Here is a 25,117-nt window from a genome sequence, read left to right as displayed (position 1 = left end):
ACCCTGAATAATTGAGGAAAATTGAAAGAATTTCCAGTTTTACTATCCTGTTAATAGAAAATAGAGCTTCTGATTATTATCATCTACTTTGTTATCTAGCATTCAGTCAACTGGATTCTTTACAGAGATAATATACAGTATATTTATAGTGATAAAGAAGACATTTGTGCAATATCCTGATATATCTTCTGAAGTATAGCTTATTTTTTTTAAGAAATGGAGTCTTGCTATGTTGCCCAGGTTGGACTTGAACTCCTGGGCTTAAGGGATCCTCCCTCCTCAGCCTCCTAAGTAGCCAGGACTACAGGTGTGCTCTACCATGCCCAGCTCTGAAGTATAGTTTTAAAAAACCTGTTTAATACAGTTTTTAGTATTAAGTGAAGTTATTCTATTTCTTTGAAAATTTTGGTAAATATTACAGTATTTTAGTAGGTAAACTCTTCTTCTTTTTACCATATTGGATATCTGAATTTTATGCTTTTCTTCACAAAGAAAATTATGAGTTTAAAATCATCCTTTTGATTGTAAACTTTTTGAGACTTATCTTTGTAGCGCAAGAGTAGCAAGTAACATAACTTAGTAAATACTTTGCAAATGGGTAATGTGAAATCTGAACTTGCATAGTAATGAATACAATTCATTCACATTGAAAAATTAGCGGATTAGGAGTAAACTGAATCACTCCTATAGAGCACTATATAATTCTTAACTGATATATTGATCTACATGAGGTGTTTTTATTTATTTTTAATTTGTTAACATTTCTCTTTTGATGTATTAATCTGCATGCGTGTATATTATTTAAAATTTCTTAACATTTCTTTTTGTTTGCTATTTTAGGCAAGTTGCTTTGGCAGATATCATTCTCATTAATAAAACAGACTTGGTTCCAGAAGAAGATGTAAAGAAATTAAGAACGACAATTAGGTACAAAATGATAAGTGTGTTAAGTGCCTACAGATCCATATTGTATACACAGAATATTTTTTACTCTGATTGTTGCCCTGTAGAAACTTAAGGTATAAGGTTGACCTGCTTCAAGAACGTTAGGGAATCACATATATTGTTGATGGCTAATTGTTATATAAATGGTAATACATAAAATTAGTCCTCAGTGCTTGCAGAATATAGTTCACAGTTAATAGACTGATATTCAGGGTCTTCGCACTCCATCTTTCTTTTCCTGTCTTCTCTTTGACTCTTTCCTAATGTCAGTCTTCCCTAACTTTACCCAGGATGGTTAATTCACTTTCCCATGGATGCATCCTCTCAGTTCCTGTCTTTACTCATAATGTATTCTCACTCTGCCAATCCCTGAGTTCTTTCTTGTTCTGTTTTTTTTTTTTTTAAATTTATTCTATAGAGCCTATTCTGTCTCTCCCCGCTTCCTATGTGAAGTCTTCCCTGACTCAAGTGGTCTCAGTTTTCCCTGAACTCTTGTTGACTTCATCTTCCTTAACTGTCAACCATGCCTTGTCTTCCAGCTTGCTTTAATATCTTCTTTGTCCATAGCCAAGGCTGATCAGCATAGGACAATCAGGACAATATGAATGATGCTCAAATATGTGCTAACAGTCATTTTGCTGACTGTTCTGGAGACTCCCATTCCTTTTGAAAACAAAGATGGACTTTTCAAATGAAGTTATAGTTCAGGGACTTTGTTTTGAATTATTTTGTAAGACCTGAACTAATAAAAGCCCTATACAGAGAGACATTCGGTAGCTATTATTATTGGTTATCTTTAATGTGTACAATGCTTTGAGCGTGATGGTGGCTCAAAATTACTATTCTTAGTATTTATAAGTTCTACTGACATTAGATTTTGAATCTGTCATCTCAGTTCATATAGTATATATTATAAATTGAATCAATAAAGGTAAGGCTCATTAGGAGATTATTTGCCATGATTAATGATTGTGGAAGAAAGAAATTCACATTTTTTCCACATATTTCATCTTATTTTAATAGTAATGTCCTTAAACTTTACTATAAAAAAATATAATGTCTCCATGTGGAGGGTAGGTATTGTTGCGTAGTGTTGAAGATCACAGACCTTGGAATCTGCTTGGGTTCTAATCCTTGGTCTGTTTCTCATTGTCTTCTTAGGGAGCTTATTTACCCTTTTAAAGCCTCCTCTGTAAAAGGCATAATGCCTATCATAAGTTTGCTTTGAGTATTACGTGAGACAATGTTGGTAAACTTTGCACAGTGCTGACACATAGTAAGTGCTCTGTTAGCTATTATTATGTAATTTTTTTCTTAGCTTACATAGTAAGTTCAAGGTATAGTAAAAAAGGGAAGAAAGAAAAAGATGGCTGATTTTGAAAAGGAGAAAGTGATGAATGAAGATTGCTTTTACATTTTTTGACACTGGTCTTCTAATCTTGTTTCCTTCATAAATCTTGTGCACCATTGTGATTGCTAAGAAGAACACAATCTATTTAGCAAACGTTTTTGGCATAAAAGGAATGATAATTATTACTTGACTTTTATATCCTTATAGAGACCTAAGCTAAATCTCTGACACTGACAATATTGACTATTAGCCAGCTTGTTAACAGTACTAGAAATGAATTTGGAAGAAGCAATTTGATAAATTACACACCCTTTTGGCTTTTACCCTCCCTTTATATCAGACTTGTGACTGACTCAGAATGATATTTGGGGAGGTGAAAAAGGTAAACATGTTTGAGAGGAATTAGCCATCAGACTAGAGTGTATTCAAAAAAGAAGATTTAAGAATTTTGTAAAATAGTGGAGAGACTTGCCTCAGAATCATTATATGTGGGAAGCCTTACCCATGAGAACAACCTTGAACAAGTAGCAAGAATCTTGGGTAAGTAACCCTAAAGACAATTGAATTCATGATAGGGAATTGATGATTGATGATAGGCAATGGAAAAGATAAATAGATGAGGTGTACAGTGTGCTGAAAAGAATTTAACAGGTACTTTTTGGTGCCATACAAAGCCATATTCTATAGTATCAAAAGAGGGAGAATAGGCATAACGGGTAGAGAGCCTAATTAGGGAACTGACGAGGTTATTCTATAAAGGAACCTGGGATGTGTGACTTAGAATTACTGTGAATACTAAGGACAGGCTGGGGGCAAAGCAACTTACAACTAGGTTTTTATTTTTAGTGTGTATATAGCCATTTCTACCACGTATGCCTGAGGAAAAAAGTGACCACCGTAAAAATTTTGAGTATCTACTCATTTTTAAGATCACTAGGATAACTGACTATTTATGAATGATTTTTTCTAAAGTGAAGCGTCTTTTTATTAACCACAAAGTAGCCCTTAATCTGACAGTTGTGCGAATTTTTGCATATATGTTTTATTGATGTATGAGTGGAATATATGTGATTTATTGTTTGAAGGAAAATCATAATTATTTTTTAAAGCAAGTTTTGTTTTTCTGTTTTTAATTTTTTTCTGGTTCCAGATGTATTTGGGTATGCTTATTTCCTGTTTTAGAAACAATATACTTTGTATACTTTTTTAAAAAGTTAATTTTTACTTTTAAACTTTGTCTTCCTCATTTATTATTTATTTCAGATCCATAAATGGACTAGGACAAATCTTAGAAACACAAAGATCAAGGTACTTTAAAAAAGCTATTCCTATTAATAACAAATCATTTTAGTTATTAATAATAAACATTAAGTAATTGACAAATATGCTTGATTCTGATATAAGAAAGATCTAAGTGCATTTAAAAAGAATTGGATCCAAAATGTTGTTTGGAATGCTCTTAATAAGTTAGTTTGGCATATTTGGCTAGTACATTTGCCTGTCTTCAAAACTAAGATTACAAAGCCATGATAACACTGTGTAAGTGTTTGCTTAATGAGGAAGAAAAGACTTCCAAACACTCGAGAGGGTAACTCAGTACAGAAATCTGAAGTATATTGAGGAATCTTAATTTGAAGTGTTTAAATGGCTTTTTAATATTTAAAAAGCCTTCTTAGTGTTTTATAGTTGCCAAAAAATACATGGAGTCTTTACCTTGAAGTTCCTGACAAATTCTTTTATTAAATTTTGACTTTCATTTTCTCTAGGTTCTGTTCCTAAAACATCTGTGAAGTGTATTTCTGTAGATTAAATTCTGTTTTCCATTGAATGTTATCTTAATTTCAGAAAATTTCTGTGCAGGGTTATTTTATTAAGCTCATTTTTTTTTTTTTTTTTTTTTTTTTTTTGGTGAGAAAGGCTCAGCAGCTGATAGACTCAGCAACAGGCAGCCAGGAGCTCTGAGGCTCACAGCTGGCATTCTAGTTCCACTCAGTCTCTACTTGAGAAATTCTTTCTTTGGAAGTACAGCAGAGGCCTTAGGTGAGTGGCTTGTCTGCTATGGCAGAGATTAGAGGTGCTGCCAGACTGCCATAAGTGTTAGGCAGTAACAGCAGCAGCTGCTTATATGCATGTGAACAGCTGGGGAATTAATTTGGTATGCATTCTCAGGAGCCGCTCATCTGCTGGCAGAGGTAGCCGAAGAATGCCCTTTAGTGTAAGTCCTCTACAACCATACACCAAATGTGCTCCCTGCATTTCAAATTCCATTGTAGAAAGTCTCTGATAATCTCACTTATACCATGAGCCATTCCTCAGTATCTGTCCTCTTCCTGTTAGTGTTCTACAATTCCTTTCTCCTTAATTTTTCTCCGCTTTACAAAATGTCACACAGACAAGTGCATAATACTTAAACAAGCTTTTAAAAATAATGCTCATAAATAGCTTTGGTTCTGTCATAATATTCGTATTTATAAACATTTTAAGTCAATTCTCTTCTTTTGTTTTCATTTCAGAAATATCCATGTCCTGAATAAAAGTTGTGTCTTGATTAGTTTATTATGTAACAATTTAGTGTGTTTGACATTTCTAACTTTTATTTCTAACATTTGCTTTATTATAGAACAATAAACATGCAGTGATTGATTTTTCTTACTTCAAGTGGATGAGTGAGCAAGTGACTAAAATCTTCTGTGAATTCTTCAGTGTATGGTTCTTGCCAATGCATCTGAGAATCTAGGGACTTTCTGAAATAGTACTTCCTTGCTATGAGGACTGAAGTTGGATTAGAATCCGTTTCAATGAAGATCAGATGTCCTGAGTAGAATTCTTACTATTGGGTCCTGAATCTTACATTAAATATTCTCTCAAATTCCTTGAGGCATAGCAACTTGAGCTTACCAGTTTAGAAACTGGAGATTTGGGCTGGGCGCGGTGGCTCACGCCTGTAATCCCAGCACTTTGGGAGGCCAAGGTGGGCGGATCACGAGGTCAGGAGATGGAGACCATCCTGGCTAACACTGTGAAACCCCATCTCTACTAAAAATACAAAAAATTAGCTGAGCCTGGTGGTGGGCGCCTGTAGTCCCAGCTACTCAGGAGGCTGAGGCAGGAGAATGGCGTGAACCCGGGAGGCGGAGCTTGCAGTGAGCTGAGATCGCACCACTGCACTCCAGCCTGGGTGACAGAGCGAGACTCTGTCTCAAAAAAAAAAAAACAAACAAACAAAAAAACCGGAGATTTGGTTAACAAAATAGTCAAAGTCACTCTTATAGAAGTTTTGTTTTATTTTTTGTTTTTTAAAATTTTTTTACCATTTTGTAGCTGACAAGTACTGACAATAAACTGCTATAAGCATGTGTAGAAAAAGGCTCACCTTGAGTAGTTAAGAGTAAGGAAAAGGAATAGTGTGTAGCATCGTCTTAGTGGTAAGACTTAAGTTGATTTAGTAGCAAATGGAAGTACTAGTGAACCACATAGATTTCAGAAGTAGGAGTAAAAGGTTAGAAGATGTGTCATTTTAATCTTCTCTAGACTTTTTCTTAATTTTTAGAAATGTAAGTGGACTGAACAGAGGAAAACCAAAACACAGCTGGTCAATAATAAGTTAAATTAATTTGACAAACTGCCTGCTATGCATTTCATAGCATTTTAAGGACTATATAAGCAATGGATAAGGCGAAAACTCTGCCTTTAAGGAGATCAGTCACTGGGGGGAAACAGAAGCAAACAAACAAAAAGGCAACATAATAGATATTAATATTAATACAAGAATTTTAAAAGCACAGAGTTCTATAATAATAGGAAAATAGAGGGAATGATTGCTCAACTTTTCTTGAAAAAGAGTCAGGAAAATATTGACCGAGAAGGCAGTCATTGACCTGAGTCTTAAAGAATGAATAAGGTTTTTACAGATGGAGTAGGGTAGGGATAACTTTCCAGGTATAAGGAAGATTTTGTATTCCAGGGACCTTTGAATATTTTAGAATGGCTAGAAAACTTGGTATTATGTAGCACAGAAAAAGTGGTATGACTGAAGAGATAGAGAACTTACCACAAAGGGTCTTGAATGCCATGATACATAGTTTGGATTTTCTTCTGTAGGGAGCAAGGAGTTAGTGAAGGATTTTAAAAGCAAAATGACTCTTGGGAGGTAGATTCAATGTGAGGCTAATCTCCGAGGTATAGGAAATACAGGAAGGAGGAGCAACAGGTCGGGTAGTGGTGGAAGCAGGTTTGGAAAATGTGATTAGTTTTGTAAACGTTTTTGAGTTTGAATTGCCACTGGGGAAGGCTTTTGGAAATTTATTTCCAGAGTTGAAGACTGAGCTATCATTGCAGTTTGCTCAGCTATTTACTGAGCTATCTACTGTCAATTTGGATAGTATCTACAGTTTTCATTGTAGATACTGGATACTTGGATTGGCTGGTGCACCCTGTTTGTGAGACTCACTGGAGTTTGAAGAGATGACCACTGGAAAATATCCCTAAGCAGTAGCTGCAATTCCACCCCCACCTTGGAGAGCCAAAACCCTCTTCGTTTTCACTCTCCTGTCCTTGGTCTTAAGCTACTTAAAGCAGCCTTTAGACATAGGGAAAAATTGAAAGCCTCTCTTTTAAGAAAAACATTAGGTACTTCTGGAATAGAGAGTTCAAGAAATTAGGAGAAAAATGAACTTTTGAAGCTTTTTCTTTCCCTTTTTTGTTTACTTCATTCTCTTACTCAGTTTTAAAATGCTGGTAATGGTCTTTTTTTTCTTTTTTTTTTTTTCTTGGCGATTTTAATGCTTTGGAAAAGATCTCATGCTTTTATCTCCAAAGGAGGAAATTAATTTGATGCCATGGAAATTAGTTTTCTAGTCGTATGCCTTGAATGAGTGAAGAATTTCTTTTTCATGGTGGTACTAAATTTGGGGAAAGCTATAGAAACTTTCATCTGGAAGCTTACACTTTTCCTCTTTTTTGAAAATTTGGTGAGAGACTTGGATATTTTATTATTTTCTGTAAAAGAGTGTAATTTGTTGTACAGGTCTAATATTGATCCTTTTTTGGAAGTATGGAAAGAATCTGAGTATAAAGCAGAATTACCTCTGGATGGCATGTATTCTCAAGGACGCTGTCATAGTGAAACAGTTTATTTAGAAGCTTGTGTTTCCAAACTGTTGAATTTGATATTCACAAAATTGGCATGTGTAAACTTTATTAAACTTTAAGCTATTTCCTAAGATGAAGATGACAAACTTGGAGGGAAACTTCATTCATTTGGTTTATTTTTATTTTTATTTTTATTTATTTTTATCTTTTTGAGACAGAATCTCACTCTGGTTTGAGACAGAATCTCACTGTGTCCCCCAAGTTGGAGTGCGGTGGTGCGATCTCGGCTCACTGAAACCTCTGCCTCCTGGGTTCAAGCGATTCTCCTGCTTCACCCTCCGAGTAGCTGGGATTACAGGTGTGCACCACCACACCCAGCTAATTTTTGTATTTTTAGTAGAGACGGTTTCGCCACATTGGCCAGGTTGGTGTCAAACTCCTGGCCTCAAAGTGATCCGCCCACCTTGGCCTCCCAAAGTGGAGCCCCCGTGCCCCTTGTTTGTGACCTGTCAATATAAATATGCTCAGTAGCGGGGGGAGGGGTGGGGGGTGAAAAAGGAAATATGTTTAATATTAAGACTTTGGCCTTTTAGTGTAAACTGATATTCAAAAATTTCTTCATAGAACATTTGCTTCTTTGCTTGATCATTTTTCTAATTCTGTACATCTAAAATGCCCAGAATTTGAGTTGCTGTTATAGTCTACTAACATAGAACTTTGGAGTAATAAGATGGGAATTTGTCTCTCTTTTGCCAAGACAAGTATTCGTAATCTAACACAGTATTGTTGCCACGAGTACGAGTATGTGATAGACTGTTGAGAATAAAGAAAGCAGGCACAGTTGGTCAGTCCTAAGATAAAGGAGATGTTTTTTCTTATATGTTTGTGCATTAAAGAAAAAAAAATCTTGAATCTGACCAATGATGTTTTTTTTCCTTGTAAGAAAATTTAACAAATGTTTGGCAAGCTTCTGGAATCTAAATTTGAAATTATACATTTGTCATTTTCTTTAAATATTTCTTCACCTTAGCTTTGATTATGAGAAATCACTGTCCTCTGCTGTTCTTTTTTTTTTTTTCTTTTGAGGCGGAGTCTCACTCTGTGCCAGGCTGGAGTGCAGTGGTGCAATCTCGGCTCACTGCAACCTCCACTTCCTGGGTTCAAATGATTCTCCTGCCGCAGCCTCCCGAGCAGCTGGGACTACAGGTGCATGCCACCACACCCAGCTAATTTTTGTATTTTTGGTAGAGACAGGGTTTCACCACGTTGTCCATGGCCAGGATGGTCTTGATCTTGACCTTGTGATCCGCCCGCCTCGGCCTCCCAAAGTGCTGGGATTGCAGGCATGAGCCACCGTGCCCGGCCTGTCCTCTGTGGTTTTCTGGGCTTATGTTAAAATTATAACTCAATCACCAGTCTTTATAAATTTGCTTTTTTATATTTAAACCAAACCTAATGCTAATTGTGATATGTTATTTATTCTCACCTGATTTGAATCATTGGATTCAATTAAATGAGTTTAATTATCATTAAATAATTCTAAGAGAAATAATGTCTATTCGGATGGTGGGAATTTTCTTTCTACATGCAGCCCCATTCTGAATGAATGAAATCAAATCACGTGAAGATCAGGGTCCTAGAGTAACCTAATATTTTGTACATTGGTTATTTGACTCCTCATTTTTATATTACATGTTATATCAAGGGAGGGGGTATAAAAGAAATACAAAAATTGCAGAGGTATCTGGAATGTACCTATTTGTTAATTCTATTTGTCATTTCTTTTGTTTCATCTTTTGAGTAATAAGCTGCTTGGAAAAGTTTCTGTTCTTTAGCTGATTTTTTAGCTATAAAAATGTATTTGAAAAGCTCATAAATTTCAGGATTGAAAAGATAATTGAAAGTTTAAAAAAAACCTAATTCATTGAAGTAATAACCAAATAATTTTCAATCTTGATTCAACTGTGATTCAAATCTTACACCATTTGCCCACTTCTATGAATTTTATGTATAAAATTTTTTAAGAGTCAGAGTTTTTTTTTCTTGATTAATTGGATGTATTTCACAGAATTTCCAACTGCTCACGTTAGTTTTCTTCCTTTTAGAGTTGATCTCTCTAATGTATTAGATCTTCATGCCTTTGATAGTCTCTCTGGAATAAGGTATGTTTTGTATAATTTGGTTACTTTTATTGTTATGTACCTTTTTTCCCCATAGTTAACAGGAATGATTTGCACAATTGCATCCATGATTTAAGCTTCCTGCCATTCCTTTGGCATACAAGACCATTCTTAATGAGGTATATTCTTGGAAGTTTTACTAATTGGTTGTTTGGAAATCATATTGCATTTTCCTGTAGAAATTATAGTGTAAATGATAGTTAACTTTAGAGGCTAATCGTTAACACTTCTACACCAAACACTATGTCTAATACTCTTTCTATGAGAAAATGCATGAAATACATGGAAAATTTTAGCTTAGCGTTTTCACACAAATAACTCTCTTCACTTTATTTTTTTATTTTTTATTTTTTCTTGAGTTTTTTTTAAATTTATTTATTTATTATTATTATACTTTAAGGTTTAGGGTACATGTGCACAATGTGCAGGTTAGTTACATATGTATACATGTGCCATGCTGGTGGGCTGCACCCACTAACTCGTCATCTAGCATTAGTTATATCTCCCAATGCTATCCCTCCCCCCTCCCCCCAACCCACAACAGTCCCCAGAGTGTGATGTTCCCCTTCCTGTGTCCATGTGTTCTCATTGTTCAATTCCCACCTATGAGTGAGAATATGCGGTGTTTGGTTTTTTGTTCTTGCGATAGTTTACTGAGAATGATGATTTCCAATTTCATCCATGTCCCTACAAAGGACATGAACTCATCCTTTTTTATGGCTGCATAGTATTCCATGGTGTATATGTGCCACATTTTCTTAATCCAGTCTATCATTGTTGGACATTTGGGTTGGTTCCAAGTCTTTGCTATTGTGAATAATGCCGCAATAAACATACGTGTGCATGTGTCTTTATAGCAGCATGATTTATAGTCCTTTAGGTTATATACCCAGTAATGGGATGGCTGGGTCAAATGGTATTTCTAGTTCTAGATCCCTGAGGAATCGCCACACTGACTTCCACAATGGTTGAACTAGTTTACAGTCCCGCCAACAGTGTAAAAGTGTTCCTATTTCTCCACATCCTCTCCAGCACCTGTTGTTTCCTGACTTTTTAATGATTGCCATTCTAACTGGTGTGAGATAGTATCTCATTGTGGTTTTGATGTGCATTTCTCTGATGGCCAGTGATGGTGAGCATTTTTTCATGTGTTTTTTGGCTGCATAAATGTCTTCTTTTGAGAAGTGTCTGTTCATGTCCTTCACCCACTTTTTGATGGGGTTGTTTGGTTTTTTCTTGTAAATTTGTTTGAGTTCATTGTAGATTCTGGATATTAGCCCTTTGTCAGATGAGTAGGTTGCAAAAATTTTCTCCCATTTTGTAGGTTGCCTGTTCACTCTGATGGTAGTTTCTTTTGCTGTGCAGAAGCTGTTTAGTTTAATTAGATCCCATCTGTCAATTTTGGCTTTTGTTGCCATTGCTTTTGGTGTTTTAGACATGAAGTCCTTGCCCATGCCTATGTCCTGAATGGTAATGCCTAGGTTTTCTTCTAGGGTTTTTATGGTTTTAGGTCGAACGTTTAAGTCTTTAATCCATCTTGAATTGATTTTTGTATAAGGTGTAAGGAAGGGATCCGGTTTCAGCTCTCTACATATGGCTAGCCAGTTTTCCCAGAACCATTTATTAAATACGGAATCCTTTCCCCACTGCTTGTTTTTCTCAGGTTTGTCAAAGATCAGATAGTTGTAGATATGCGGCGTTATTTCTGAGGGCTCTATTCTGTTCCATTGATCTATATCTCTGTTTTGGTACCAGTACCATGCTGTTTTGGTTACTGTAGCCTTGTAGTATAGTTTGAAGTCAGGTAGTGTGATGCCTCCAGCTTTGTTCTTTTGGCTTAGGATTGACTTGGCGATGCGGGCTCTTTTTTGGTTCCATATGAACTTTAAAGTAGTTTTTTCCAATTCTGTGAAGAAAGTCATTGGTAGCTTGATGGGGATGGCATTGAATCTGTAAATTACCTTGGGCAGTATGGCCATTTTCACGATATTGATTCTTCCTACCCATGAGCATGGAATGTTCTTCCATTTGTTTGTATCCTCTTTTATTTCCTTGAGAAGTGGTTTGTAGTTCTCCTTGAAGAGGTCCTTCACATCCCTAGTAAGTTGGATTCCTAGGTATTTTATTCTCTTTGAAGCAATTGTGAATGGGAGTTCACTCATGATTTGGCTCTCTGTTTGTCTGTTGTTGGTGTATAAGAATGCTTGTGATTTTTGTACATTGATTTTGCATCCTGAGACTTTGCTGAAGTTGCTTATCAGCTTAAGGAGATTTTGGGATGAGATGATGGGGTTTTCTAGATATACAATCATGTCATCTGCAAACAGGGACAATTTGACTTCCTCTTTTCCTAATTGAATACCCTTTATTTCCTTCTCCTGCCTAATTGCCCTGGCCAGAACTTCCAACACTATGTTGAATAGGAGTGGTGAGAGAGGACATCCCTGTCTTGTGCCAGTTTTCAAAGGGAATGCTTCCAGTTTTTGCCCATTTAGTATGATATTGGCTGTGGGTTTGTCATAGATAGCTCTTATTATTTTGAAATACGTCCCATCAATACCTAATTTATTGAGAGTTTTTAGCATGACGGGTTGTTGAATTTTGTCAAAGGCCTTTTCTGCATCTATTGAGATAATCATGTGGTTTTTGTCTTTGGTTCTGTTTATATGCTGGATTACATGTATTGATTTGCATATATTGAACCAGCCTTGCGTCCCAGGGATGAAGCCCACTTGATCATGGTGGATAAGCTTTTTGATGTGCTGCTGGATTTGGTTTGCCAGTATTTTATTGAGGATTTTTGCATCAATGTTCATCAAGGATATTGGTCTAAAATTCTCTTTTTTGGTTGTGTCTCTGCCCGGCTTTGGTATCAGGATGATGCTGGCCTCATCAAATGAGTTAGGGAGGACTCCCTCTTTTTCTATTGATTGGAATAGTTTCAGAAGGAATGGTACCAGTTCCTCCTTGTACCTCTGGTAGAATTCGGCTGTGAATCTATCTGGTCCTGGACTCTTTTTGGTTGGTAAGCTATTGATTATTGCCACAATTTCAGATCCTGTTATTGGTCTATTCAGAGATTCAACTTCTTCCTGGTTTAGTCTTTGGAGGGTGTATGTGTCAAGGAATTTATCCATTTCTTCTAGTTTTTCTAGTTTTTTTGCGTAGAGGTGTTTTTAGTATTCTCTGATGGTAGTTTGTATTTCTGTGGGATCGGTGGTGATATCCCCTTTATCATTTTTTATTGCGTCTATTTGATTCTTCTCTCTTTTTTTCTTTATTAGTCTTGCTAGCGGTCTATCAATTTTGTTGATCCTTTCAAAAAACCAGCTCCTGGATTCATTAATTTTTTGAAGGGTTTTTTGTGTCTCTATTTCCTTCAGTTCTGCTCTGATTTTAGTTATTTCTTGCCTTCTGCTAGCTTTTGAATGTGTTTGCTCTTGCTCTTCTAGTTCTTTTAATTGTGATGTTAGAGTGTCAATTTTGGATCTTTCCTGCTTTCTCTTGTGGGCATTTAGTGCTATAAATTTCCCTCTACACACTGCTTTGAATGTGTCCCAGAGATTCTGGTATGTTGTGTCTTTGTTCTCGTTGGTTTCAAAGAACATCTTTATTTCTGCCTTCATTTCGTTATGTACCCAGTAGTCATTCAGGAGCAGGTTGTTCAGTTTCCATGTAGTTGAGCGGTTTTGAGTGAGATTCTTAATCCTGAGTTCTAGTTTGATTGTACTGTGGTCTGAGAGATAGTTTGTTATAATTTCTGTTCTTTTACATTTGCTGAGGAGAGCTTTACTTCCAAGTATGTGGTCAATTTTGGAATAGGTGTGGTGTGGTGCTGAAAAAAATGTATATTCTGTTGATTTGGGGTGGAGAGTTCTGTAGATGTCTATTAGGTCTGCATGGTGCAGAGCTGAGTTCAATTCCTGGGTATCCTTGTTGACTTTCTGTCTCATTGATCTGTCTAATGTTGACAGTGGGGTGTTAAAGTCTCCCATTATTATTGTGTGGGAGTCTAAGTCTCTTTGTAGGTCACTCAGGACTTGCTTTATGAATCTGGGTGCTCCTGTATTGGATGCATATATATTTAGGATAGTTAGCTCTTCTTGTTGAATTGATCCCTTTACCATTATGTAATGGCCTTCTTTGTCTCTTTTGATCTTTGTTGGTTGAAAGTCTGTTTTATCAGAGACTAGGATTGCAACCCCTGCCTTTTTTTGTTTTCCATTTGCTTGGTAGATTTTCCTCCATCCCTTTATTTTGAGCCTATGTGTGTCTCTGCACGTGAGATGGGTTTCCTGAATACAGCACACTGATGGGTCTTGACTCTTTATCCAATTTGCCAGTCTGTGTCTTTTAATTGGAGCATTTAGTCCATTTACATTTAAAGTTAATATCGTTATGTGTGAATTTGATCCTGTCATTATGATGTTAGCTGGTTATTTTGCTCGTTAGTTGATGCAGTTTCTTCCTAGTCTCGATGGTCTTTACATTTTGGCATGATTTTGCAGCGGCTGGTACCAGTTATTCCTTTCCATGTTTAGCGCTTCCTTCAGGAGCTCTTTTAGGGCAAGCCTGGTGGTGACAAAATCTCTCAGCATTTGCTTGTCTGCAAAGTATTTTATTTCTCCTTCACTTATGAAGCTTAGTTTGGCTGGATATGAAATTCTGGGTTGAAAATTCTTTTCTTTAAGAATGTTGAATATTGGCCCCCACTCTCTTCTGGCTTGTAGAGTTTCTGCCAAGAGATCCGCTGTTAGTCTGATGGGCTTCCCTTTGAGGGTAACCCGACCTTTCTCTCTGGCTGCCCTTAACATTTTTCCCTTCATTTCAACTTTGGTGAATCTGACAATTATGTGTCTTGGAGTTGCTCTTCTCGAGGAGTATCTTTGTGGCATTCTCTGTATTTCCTGAATCTGAATGTTGGCCTGCTTTGCTAGATTGGGGAAGTTCTCCTGGATGATATCCTGCAGAGTGTTTTCCAACTTGGTTCCATTCTCCCCGTCACTTTCAGGTACACCAATCAGACGTAGATTTGGTCTTTTCACATAGTCCCATATTTCTTGGAGGCTTTGTTTGTTTCTTTTTATTCTTTTTTCTCTAAACTTCCCTTCTTGCTTCATTTCATTCATTTCATCTTCCATCGCTGATACCCTTTCTTCCAGTTGATCGCATCGGCTCCTGAGGCTTCTGCATTCTTCACGTAGTTCTCGAGCCTTGGTTTTCAGCTCCATCAGCTCCTTTAAGCACTTCTCTGTATTGGTTATTCTAGTTATACATTCTTCAAAATTTTTTTCAAAGTTTTCAACTTCTTTGCCTTTGGTTTGAATGTCCTCCCGTAGCTTGGAGTAATTTGATCGTCTGAAGCCTTATTTTCTCAGCTCGTCAAAGTCATTCTCCGTCCAGCTTTGTTCTGTTGTTGGTGAGGAGCTGTGTTTCTTTGGAGGAGGAGAGGCGCTGCGTTCCTTTGGAGGAGGAGAGGCGCTCTGCTTTTTAGAGTTTCCAGGTTTTCTGCTCTGTTTTTTCCCCATCTTTGCAGTTTTCATCTACTTTTGGTCTTTGATGATGGTGATGTACAGATGGGTTTTTGGTGTGGATGTCCTTTCTGTTTGTTAGTTTTCCTTCTAACAGACAGGACCTTCAGCTGCAGGTCTGTTGGAGTACCTGGCCGTGTGAGGTGTCAGCCTGCCTCTGCTAGGGGGTGCCTCCCAGTTACCTCCCAGGGGGTGACCTCCCAGGGGGTCAGGGGTCAGGGACCCACTTGAGGAGGCAGTCTGCCCGTTCTCAGATCTCCAGCTGTGTGCTGGGAGAACCACTGCTCTCTTCAAAGCTGTCAGACAGGGACACTTAAGTCTGCGGAGGTTACTGCTGTCTTTTTGTGTGTCTGTACCCTGCCCCCAGAGGTGGAGCCTACAGAGGCAGGCAGGCTTCCTTGAGCTGTGGTGGGCTCCACCCAGTTGGAGCTTCCTGGCTGCTTTGTTTACCTAAGCAAGCCTGGGCAATGGCGGGCGCCCCTCCCCCAGCCTCGCTGCCGCCTTGCAGTTTGATCTCAGACTGCTGTGCTAGCAATCAGCGAGACTCCGTGGGCGTGGGACCCTCCGAGCCAGGTGTGGGACACAATCTCCTGGTGCGCCGTTTTTCAAGCCCGTCGGAAAAGCGCAGTATTCTGGTGGGAGTGACCCAATCTTCCAGGTGCCGTCTGTCACCCCTTTCTTTGACTAGGAAAGGGAACTCCCTGACCCCCGTGCTTCCCAAGTGAGACAATGCCTCGCCCTGCTTCGGCTCGCGGATGGAGCACGCACCCACTGACCTGCGCCCACTGTCTCGCACTCCCTAGTGAGATGAACCCGGTACGTCAGATGGAAATGGAGAAATCGCCTGTCTTCTGCGTCTCTCACGCTGGGAGCTGTAGACCGGAGCTGTTCCTATTCGGCCATCTTGGCTCCTCTCTCCTCTCTTCACTTTAATAATGGATTAGTTTTCTGCCTTCTCCTGTGGGGAATCTTTTTGGTAAGGGAGAGAAGAAAGATTAGTTATTCTTGTGCATCGGTATCTTTTTCTTTTTTTATTGTAGTAAGAACATCTAACATGAGATCTACCCTCTTAACAATTTTTTAAGTGTACAATACAGTATTGCTAACTATAGGCATGAGGATGTGCAGCAGATCTCTGGAACGTTTCACTCTTTATAACTGAAGCTTTATACCCCTTGAATCGCAGTTTCCCATTTCCCTGTCTTCATAGCCCCTGGCATCCACCATTCTACACTCTTTCTATGGGGTTGACTATTTTAATTACCTGACACAAGTGGAATCATGCATTATTTGTCTTTCTGTGACTGGTTTATTTCATGTAGCATAAAGTCATCAAGGTTCATCCATGTTTTTGCATATGGCAAGGTTTCCTTTTTAAGTCTGAATAATATTCCATTTTCTACATATACCACATTTACTTTATCCCTTTTTCTGTTAGTGGACATTTAACTTGTTCTCACAGCTTGGCTATTGCAAATAATGCTGCAATGAATATCTCATAAGTCTCGTATATGTCCATACAAGATCATGAAAATGGACATGTCTCTGGGTATTTTGAATTGGTGGGACAATTTTGCTTAAGGGTAGGCATAGTGGGTGGCTCTACATTTGAGAGTTCTAATTCCCATTCCTATATATATTTCTTTTCTTTTTATTTATTTATTTTTTTGAGATGGGGTTCTCTGTCACTCAGGCTGGAGTGCAGTGGCACAAACATGGCTTACTGCAGCCTCAACCTCCTGGGCTCAAGTGATCCTCCCATCTCAGCCTCCCAAGAAGCTGGGACCACAGGCATGTGTCACCATGCCTGACTAATTTTTTTTTAATTTTCTGTAAGCATGGGGTCTTGCTATGTTGCCTAGGCTGGTCTCAAACTCCTGGGCTCGAGTGATCCTCATGCCTCAGCCTCCCAAAGTGCTGGGATTACATGTGTAGGCCACCACACCCAGCCTTATATATGTATTTCTAATTTTGCCTTAGCCATGCCCTTAAAAACTAATTATACTTTCAACTAGTTTTTTTTTCCACCTTCAGTCTGTGGTATTGTTCACATTTTGAAAACAATACCTACAGTAACCTGTGAGGTAGGACATGATAGTGTTTTATTGGACCCCTTTTACTTTATGAATTGGAAAAACTAAATTTGCATGTAGTTTGTAAAAAAAAAAATAAAGAAAAAAGAAATTGATTGAGATTATTTCAGCAGCCAGAAGTGTGGGACAGGCAGGGCAGTTATTCCTCCTTCTCAGTTTGGAAACTGAAGCTCAGAGAGTAAACTTGTCAGTGACACAGTTATTCAAGAAGTTGTCTTCAGTTGAGAGATATGTTTTTCACCTGTAGCTTCTGGTATTGGAGCAGTACCTTTTTAGACTAAACAAATTACAGTTAAAATTATAAAGGTATTTTTGGAGTACCTGGAAAAAAATCAGCATTTTGCTTTTCTAGTTCCATTTAGTAGGAAGGCAGGAAAGTTTGGTATACCTGAATTACATGTGAGTTATTTCTATTTTTCTAAAAATTCTTATAAATTGTGTAAGGTAAAAATGACTATTTCTTGTTTTATGGTAAATATAGTTATATCCTTTCAAGCCACTGCTGTACAAAGTTGTGAAATCTCCCTGAGCCTTTTTCCCTCATGTCAGCTTCAGGTATCCAGTATCACTTATGCTTGATAATGATTGTATGAAAATCATTCAGAATTATACTATGTTTTTTCATATAAAGCTTTTGTTTTACTAATTTTGAAATAACTGTTCCTCCATTAAGCGAATACAGCCCTAAGCATAAATTTGGTTTGTTCATTTAAAAATGGTCTTTTTTTCCCATCTTATTTCTGGCTTTACTAGGGAGATAGATTGGCTGAGGTTGTCACCTAATTCTGGGAGGTTAAGAGCCTTTGTCTTTTGCTACCCATTTCTGAAATAACCAGAAGTCTAGCCCATCCTAACTTTCCTCTCGATGATCCTTTTCTTCTTTTTACTTCAAGGTTCCAGCCCTTCATTTGACTATCAGTGCTGTTTCACTAGTTAGCCATGATCCCTTTCATCCTCCGTGTCTGGATTAGAACTGTATTTTTAATTTGATGCTGTGGGCAGTTTTGATAGTTACAGATCCTGTGATACATTTAAATGTGTTTACAAGGGGAACAAATGAAACAATGCTGCATGAAATTTGCCTTTCTTTTTTTTTTTTTTTCCCCTTGGAGACAGGGTCTGGGTCTATTGCCCAGGCTAGAGTGCAGTGGTGCGATGTCAGCTCCCTATAGCCTCTGTGTCCTGGGCTTAAGCCATCTTCCCACCTCAGACTCATGAGTAGCTGGGACTATAGGCACGCACTACCATGCCTGGCTAATTTTTTATTTTGGTAGAAGATGAGGTTTTGCCATGTTGCCGAAGCTGATCTTAAACTCCTGGGCTTAAGTGATCTGCCCACCTCAGCCTCCCAAAGTAATGGGATTATAGGCATGAGCCACCACACTTGGCCTTTTCTTTTTTTTATATTTATTTAATTATTTTATTTTATTGAGACAGAGTCTCACTCTGACACCTGGGCTGGAATGCAGTGGCTATCATGGCTCTCTGCAGTCGTGAACTCCTGGACTCAAGTGATCCTCCCATCTCAGCCTCCTGAGTAGCTGGGACTACAGGCTTGCACCCATGCCTGGCTAATTTTTTTATTTTTACTTTTTTGTAGTGACAGGCTCTCGCTACGTTGCTCAGGCTCATCTTGAACTCCTGGCCTCAAGTGATTCTCCTACTTGGCCTCTCAAAGTGCTGGGATTATAAACCTGAGCCACTGAACCCAGCAAAATTTGCCTTTCTTAAACTAATTTATCTCTGTTGGGTCCAAGAGCTTACAAGTTGGTTGTCATTTAATATGTTAAACACTAGAATATTTTTTAGTTGAAATTTTATTTTTTCCCTTTACATATTGTATCCTTTAGTGCTTTATTTCACTAATAAGAATTATAGTATGCAATCATTTCCCACCTCTATATTCAGTATATCAATTTTTGTTTTTCCTTTCTACTTCTGTCTTTTGCTATAATTTGCTGTAATACAGGTACTTTCATCAAGGCATCCAGTTCTTTATATCATTCTATATTTTTACTTGGGAGAAATAGAAATGTTGCTAATTCCATCTTACTGACAATACCTAAATTATTGTTTGTTATAGAACATAATGATTTAAATATACAAAACACTAAACTGTTTGAGATTTTTTACATTTTATGTGTGCAGAATTTACATTTTATGTGTGCAGAGACAAAAATTGTTATAAGATTACAAGTTAATGTGCAAGATGATTTCCGATTCATGAGTTTCAGGTTTTGATAGCATATCCTTATCCACTAGATTAGTCTTTTAAAAATGTGTATGATAGGGAAAAAATCGAGGGCATGAAATTCTGAGACTTATGGGAACTAAACTTAAATGTTCGTTGTTAGATTTTTTTTTTTTTTTTTTTTTTTTGCTGCATATGAAGTTTTAGGCAGTCATTGTCCAACAACATTAAATACTGAACATATGGGAAAAGCATATGATTTTTCAAAATGTTTTTCTAAAGTAATCTCATTCTACATACACTTAAGAGCAGTTATAATGCTTTAGTGACACTTGAAGTAGCTTTTTAATGTGATCTCACCACTATAGGGAAGGCCGTTGCATGACTTTTTTGTGTGTGCTTAACTGCTAAACAGGAGAATCTTTTCCTGAGCAACCAGCTGGGAAGGATTTAATTTGACATTCTCCCTACTAGGACCCCCCCAAAGAGACTCATTCCCTCCAATAGTTCCTACAAGTTCTTTCTCTTTCCTAAACTTGCTGTTACTAATTTACCCCTCACTGTTTTCAAGGCAAAGCATCTGCAAGGTTTTCAGTCCTTTCCCCCTCCCGTCCTGTCCCCATCAGTGTTGAAATGTATGCTACAGTTATTATGGTTGTAATTTGTTATGCCATGTTGATCTTCTTGTGCTTTTCATATCAGAACAATGCATTTTTAACATTCTGACTTTCTTTTTCTCTCAATTGGTAACTGACTATATAGAAAATTTATATTTATGGATACTATTTCTTTTTTAATAAGTTCAAGGGAAAACATTGATAAAGGAAAATTTATCCTTTCAACTTTCTTTAGGTGCCAGCATTATTTTCATATTAGGAAGCAGGAGAAAGTTAAGGAACTCTAAGCAATACTAGAATGGTTATATATATATTTAAGTTTGTATTAAACCTGTTGGAATGGTAAAGAAATTTACTGACATATTTAACCATACAAAATAGTGTTGCTAAAAGACTAGTTTTTCTCTTTATTCTGTGCATATGTATATATATGAATGTGTGTTTTTTTTTTAAGAAATTTTAAAAAAACTTAATCTGCCAGCTTTTCTCTATTGGAATTTGCAAACAACTTGTAAAATTGGAATTACAGAATATTAGAATAGTCAGTTATGGAAAGTCACTTCATTATCCTTGTGTCACTAAATAACGTATAAAGTTAAATCAGAAGTGTATTAATCTCTGAATTTCTAATCAGTTGTTTTTAGTTTGCAGAAAAAACTTCAGCATGTGCCAGGAACACAACCTCACCTTGATCAGGTAAAGAAAAAAAATCTAAATCTGAAATTCCTAATCAATGTTTTTAAAGGACCTCTTTAACTAGATAGGCAATGTTTAGGACTATTTTATTATAAACTTTTTCTAAAATGGTATTTTTGAACTGTGTTGATAATTTTTGGAATCTTAAATGCTTTTGACATAGTCTAATTCTATTTCTTAACACATAATAGGAATTCATCAAACCAGATTTGTTTTAGAATCTGAGGAAATCATGCTTTCTAGCCTTTCCATTCTGTAGATTGCTTAGCATATTGGTTAGTTCTGATAGGGATTACTCCTTAAAAGCAGCCTGGGGGTTCTATAGGCAGTCTGTTTTTAAGTATGTTGAATTGTTTAAGGAAAGGTCTGATATAAGCATGGCTTATTTAAATAAAAATTGACTTGGAGTTTCACCTTCAGGTAGCACTATAAATTTGAACTCCTTAAGATGTTTTTCATGCTCTAAAATTCTAATCCCTAAGGTAAATATCTAAGATGCTAGGAACAATTTAAATATAATTTTACTGTACCTGCGTTTCTGTTAAGCAGATCATAGATCGTAGAGGTTTAGGATAACTTCTTTGTTCCTCTTAAAACCCTGAGGGTTGGAGTGGGGGATGTGTAAGTGAGCAGTGTGCCTAATCTTCCTTCCTCTCTCTCAAGTGATCACTCAATTTTTGAATTGCTATTGGTTGTAATAGGGCCAAGATAACAGCTACTTGCATTTGTATTCATTTTGGTTCATATTTATGAGCAGGTTTGCTACTATGTTTGTGGCACCTTTCCCTGTGAAACTTTTGTTAATAGGATATTCCTCTTCACTTATCTTTAAAATGAATAAATGAGAGAAATACAAGTCCTTGGAGATAGAATTTATGGTAAAAAAAAAAAAAACCCAGTTCTTTATGATAGTCAGTATCTGTCATATAGTTGAACATGAAGCACATTTGAGCTTCTGGGTAAAGAACGTGATGCCAAGAATCATAGGGATGAATAGATGAAGAAAACGCAGTACTCACTTACCATGAACATTTGGAGCAGCCAGTGTCTCCATCCATAGAATCTCGAATGAACCCCTATTGTGGCAGTTATGATGCCTTGTAGTTTGGTTGAAATGCTTTTGCCTTGCATTAGTCTATAAATTCCTTAAATATAAAATCTTTATTGCTTAGTACAGGGCTTGGTGGATACTCAGTGAATATTTGTTAAAAGAATGAAAAGCTGTGTTTCTCAAATGGGGTATAAATCAGAATCACATGTGGAGCTTTTTTAAAAAAAATTCGATAACTCAGTAGTTCTCACCCCTCAGTCTCCAGGATTGGGACTTGGGTATGTGTATATTAATGTATATTTTTAACATTTTATTATGGAAGATTTCAAAGATATAAAAGAATAAACAGAATAGTAAAGTAAACTCCTCGTATGCATCACCCAGTTTAAATGGCATCAACATTTAGCTGATTTTATTTCACCTATCCTCCCAACATTTCTTTTGCCTGGAGTATTTAAAAAAAACAAATGTATTTTAATAGGAAATTTCAAACGTACATAAGAGTAGAATAGTATAATGAGCCTTTATGTACCTATTGCCCTTGGTGTAGTGTATTAAAGCAAATTCCAGACATTATGTCACTTTACTACTAAATAGGGCATATCTGTATTTTTGTAGCCTCTGTAGGAGATTCTGATGCACTGTCCTGCTTTAGATAATATAAACATAGGGAAAAATAGTATCACAGCCAAAGGGCTATGGGATTCAGAGGCATGAACAATTTCATTTGGTTTAGTGGATCTGAGGTGTAAGGGAGGAAATTTATCTTTTCCTCACCTATCACTAGATTCATGGCTGAGGTCTCTCTAACAGAAGACCAACTATCAAGAGAAATTTCAACATAGAAATTTATTTAGTAAGTTTTACTTGACACAGGAGCCTTCATAAAACATACCTGTGTATGTTTTCTGTTAGTTATGATATGGAAGAGGATAGTAATGGAGAAGCATAATTAGATAAAACAGTATGATCTAATAAACTGGGAAGAACTTAGCAAGGCCTGTTTGCTCAGATTTTTCTCTGTGACCCTTCATATTCAGACTTAAGGATGTTCTTTTCCTCTGTGTATAGAGAGGGCACCTCTTAAATGAGGGTCTTATGACCTGCATCAGCGGAAGGTCAGAAAATCTTTCCTAGGTTTTATGACCTGCTTCAGGAGAGAAGGTGAGAGTGACCTTCCTGATTCTGCCATTTTCTCAAATATTGAGTTGCCATATTTTGGGATAGCATGTCCTGAACCCCATCAAATGCTTCATGAGGATAGTTTTTCATTTGTTTCTTTTGGTTTTGGTTTATTTATTTGCATACAGTAAAGCATGCAAATGTGTAATTTTAGTGTACAATTCAATGTTTGGGTTTTGTTTTTGTTTTTGTTTTTTTGGTTTTTTTTGAGACGGAGTCTCACTCCGGCTAGAGTCTCACCCAGGCTGGAGTGCAGTGGTGTGACCTTGGCTCACTGCAACTTCCTCCTTCTAGATTCAAGTGATTCTCATGCCTCAGCCTCCTGAGTAGCTGGGATTACAGGCATGTACCACCATGCCTAGCTAATTTTTGTTTTTTTTTTTTTTTTTTTTTTTTTTAGTAGAGATGGGGTTTCACCATGTTGGCCAAGCTGGTCTCAAACTCCTGACTTCAGGTGATCCACCTGCTTCGGCCTCCCAAAGTGCTGGGATTACAGGCGTGAGCCACTGTGCCCGGCCTCAATGTATTTTTACATATATTTGTACCTATATATCTGTCTATATGCACATTCAAACACATATCCTTCTAACTCCCACTCAGGTCAAGATACAAAAGATATCCAAAATTGTAAAGAGTTCCTTTTTGCCCCTTCCTAGTCAAAGAAGGGGTAAGTGCTATTCTGACTTACTTAACAAAAAATAAACTTGAACTGGTAGGATTTTTTTTGACGGTAGGATTTTTTTTGACGGGAAGAAGTAAGGAAAAGAGCAATACGGATGTTTAAAAATGAGAAGGTGAGAATCTTATAGATGAGTAGGTCTCTGGTACAGAAGTCTTAGTGGAGAGTTGGTACTGGAATCCTGGTCTAAGGTATTAGGTTTTAATTTGCTAGACAAAGAGAACTCAAGCAGTGCTGTCTAGGAGTGTTATGTAAGCTAGATTGGACTTTAGAGTCAGGAGACCATGCGGGAAGATACTGTGTGATAAGGGCCTGAAACATGTTGGTTACAGTGAGACTAGAAATGGGATAAATCCAGAGCTGTTTCACCAGTAGACTTGCCTGAATATCCTGTCTGACTGATTATGGATCAGAAAGAAAAGAAGGGGTGATGGGAAACAAGCCTAGATTGACTAGAGAAACCTAGAAATAGAAAAATCGGGAAGGCAAAGTGATTTGGATGATAATGCCATATATTCAGTTGTCCCTGGTGGCCAGATATTATAGTATAGATATTATACAGGCAAAGAAGAACGGAGGGATAGAGTGTGAAGGTACAGATTTTGAGTTTAAGCACATTAGGGGGCTTAGTGTTCTGGATGAAGAAAACATATAAAAGTTATTGTATGTTAGGTATTGTTTGCAAAAGAGTAGAAAATGGAGAAATAACCCAGTGGGTTAAAGAAGAAACAGACTAAATAAACAAACCTGAGTAAGTTGTTCCTAAATTTTATTTTAGAGGCAATTCCTCATTTTGCTTTAGTTTTCTCAATTATTGCCTCACTTTTCTGTTTCTTTCTCTGTCAGCATACATGGAAAAAGGAGTTAATTTTAGATTCAAAACAAAAACTGGAAAAAAAAAGTCTGAAATGGGTAATACCTAGGACCTAGTATATATGTGTTATTAAGGCTCTATCCCTGAATTTTTAATGCAGTTATCTATTTTTCATGGATTCTTTGTTTATTCCCCATAAGGAACACCTGGGTTTGGAGAATGGGAAGGTAGATGAGAAAACCCAAGTGACAAAGAATGTTTAGTTTATTATTAGAACCAACTATGAGTTGTGACCCTTATCTTCTGCACTGGGAATTACAGATTTTTTCAGGGTTTTTCTAACGTGAAAAGAGTTTATTGGTGTAGGAAAACATCTGGTTCCAAAATATAGATCATCCTTCTTGAGCCCCGTGATGCGTTATCTTAATTTTTAAAGCCTTTTGTGTCTCATACTGGAGTTTATTGTACCCCTTAAAAATATTAAGTCACATATTTAACCTGATAAAAGCAAAAATCATTATAAAAATCTTTCGGCTGGGTGTGGTGGCTTATGCTTGTAATCCTAGCGCTTTGACAGGCCAAGGTGGGTGGATTGCTTAAAACCCAGGAGTTGTAGACCAGCCTGGGCAACATGGTGAAACCCCATTTCTGCAAAAAATACAAAAAATTAGCCAGGTATGGTGGCATGTACCTGTA

General features: G+C 37.1%; 1 pseudogene, besides 2 other annotated features; it reads left to right on the top strand.

The window, feature by feature from the left end:
- The window catches only part of ZNG1DP (Zn regulated GTPase metalloprotein activator 1D, pseudogene), a 34,003-nt pseudogene continuing 9,723 nt past the window's right edge, over positions 838-25,117 (top strand).
- Positions 15,257-15,781: an enhancer, noted in NCBI's record as "H3K27ac-H3K4me1 hESC enhancer chr9:70199945-70200469 (GRCh37/hg19 assembly coordinates)". NCBI's record gives its function as "activates a minimal SCP1, AML or CMV promoter by ChIP-STARR-seq in naive and primed H9 embryonic stem cells {active_cell/tissue: H9 hESC(naive and primed)}" and the evidence as "EXISTENCE:reporter gene assay evidence [ECO:0000049][PMID:30033119]".
- Positions 15,782-16,308: an enhancer, noted in NCBI's record as "H3K27ac-H3K4me1 hESC enhancer chr9:70199418-70199944 (GRCh37/hg19 assembly coordinates)". NCBI's record gives its function as "activates a minimal SCP1, AML or CMV promoter by ChIP-STARR-seq in naive H9 embryonic stem cells {active_cell/tissue: H9 hESC(naive)}" and the evidence as "EXISTENCE:reporter gene assay evidence [ECO:0000049][PMID:30033119]".

Source organism: Homo sapiens, chromosome 9, assembly GCF_000001405.40.
Source record: "Homo sapiens chromosome 9, GRCh38.p14 Primary Assembly".
In the NCBI taxonomy this organism is placed as follows: Eukaryota; Metazoa; Chordata; class Mammalia; order Primates; family Hominidae; genus Homo; species Homo sapiens.
The sequence above is the reverse complement of the archived record's forward strand: the minus strand, read 5'-3'. Positions and strand labels throughout refer to the sequence as shown.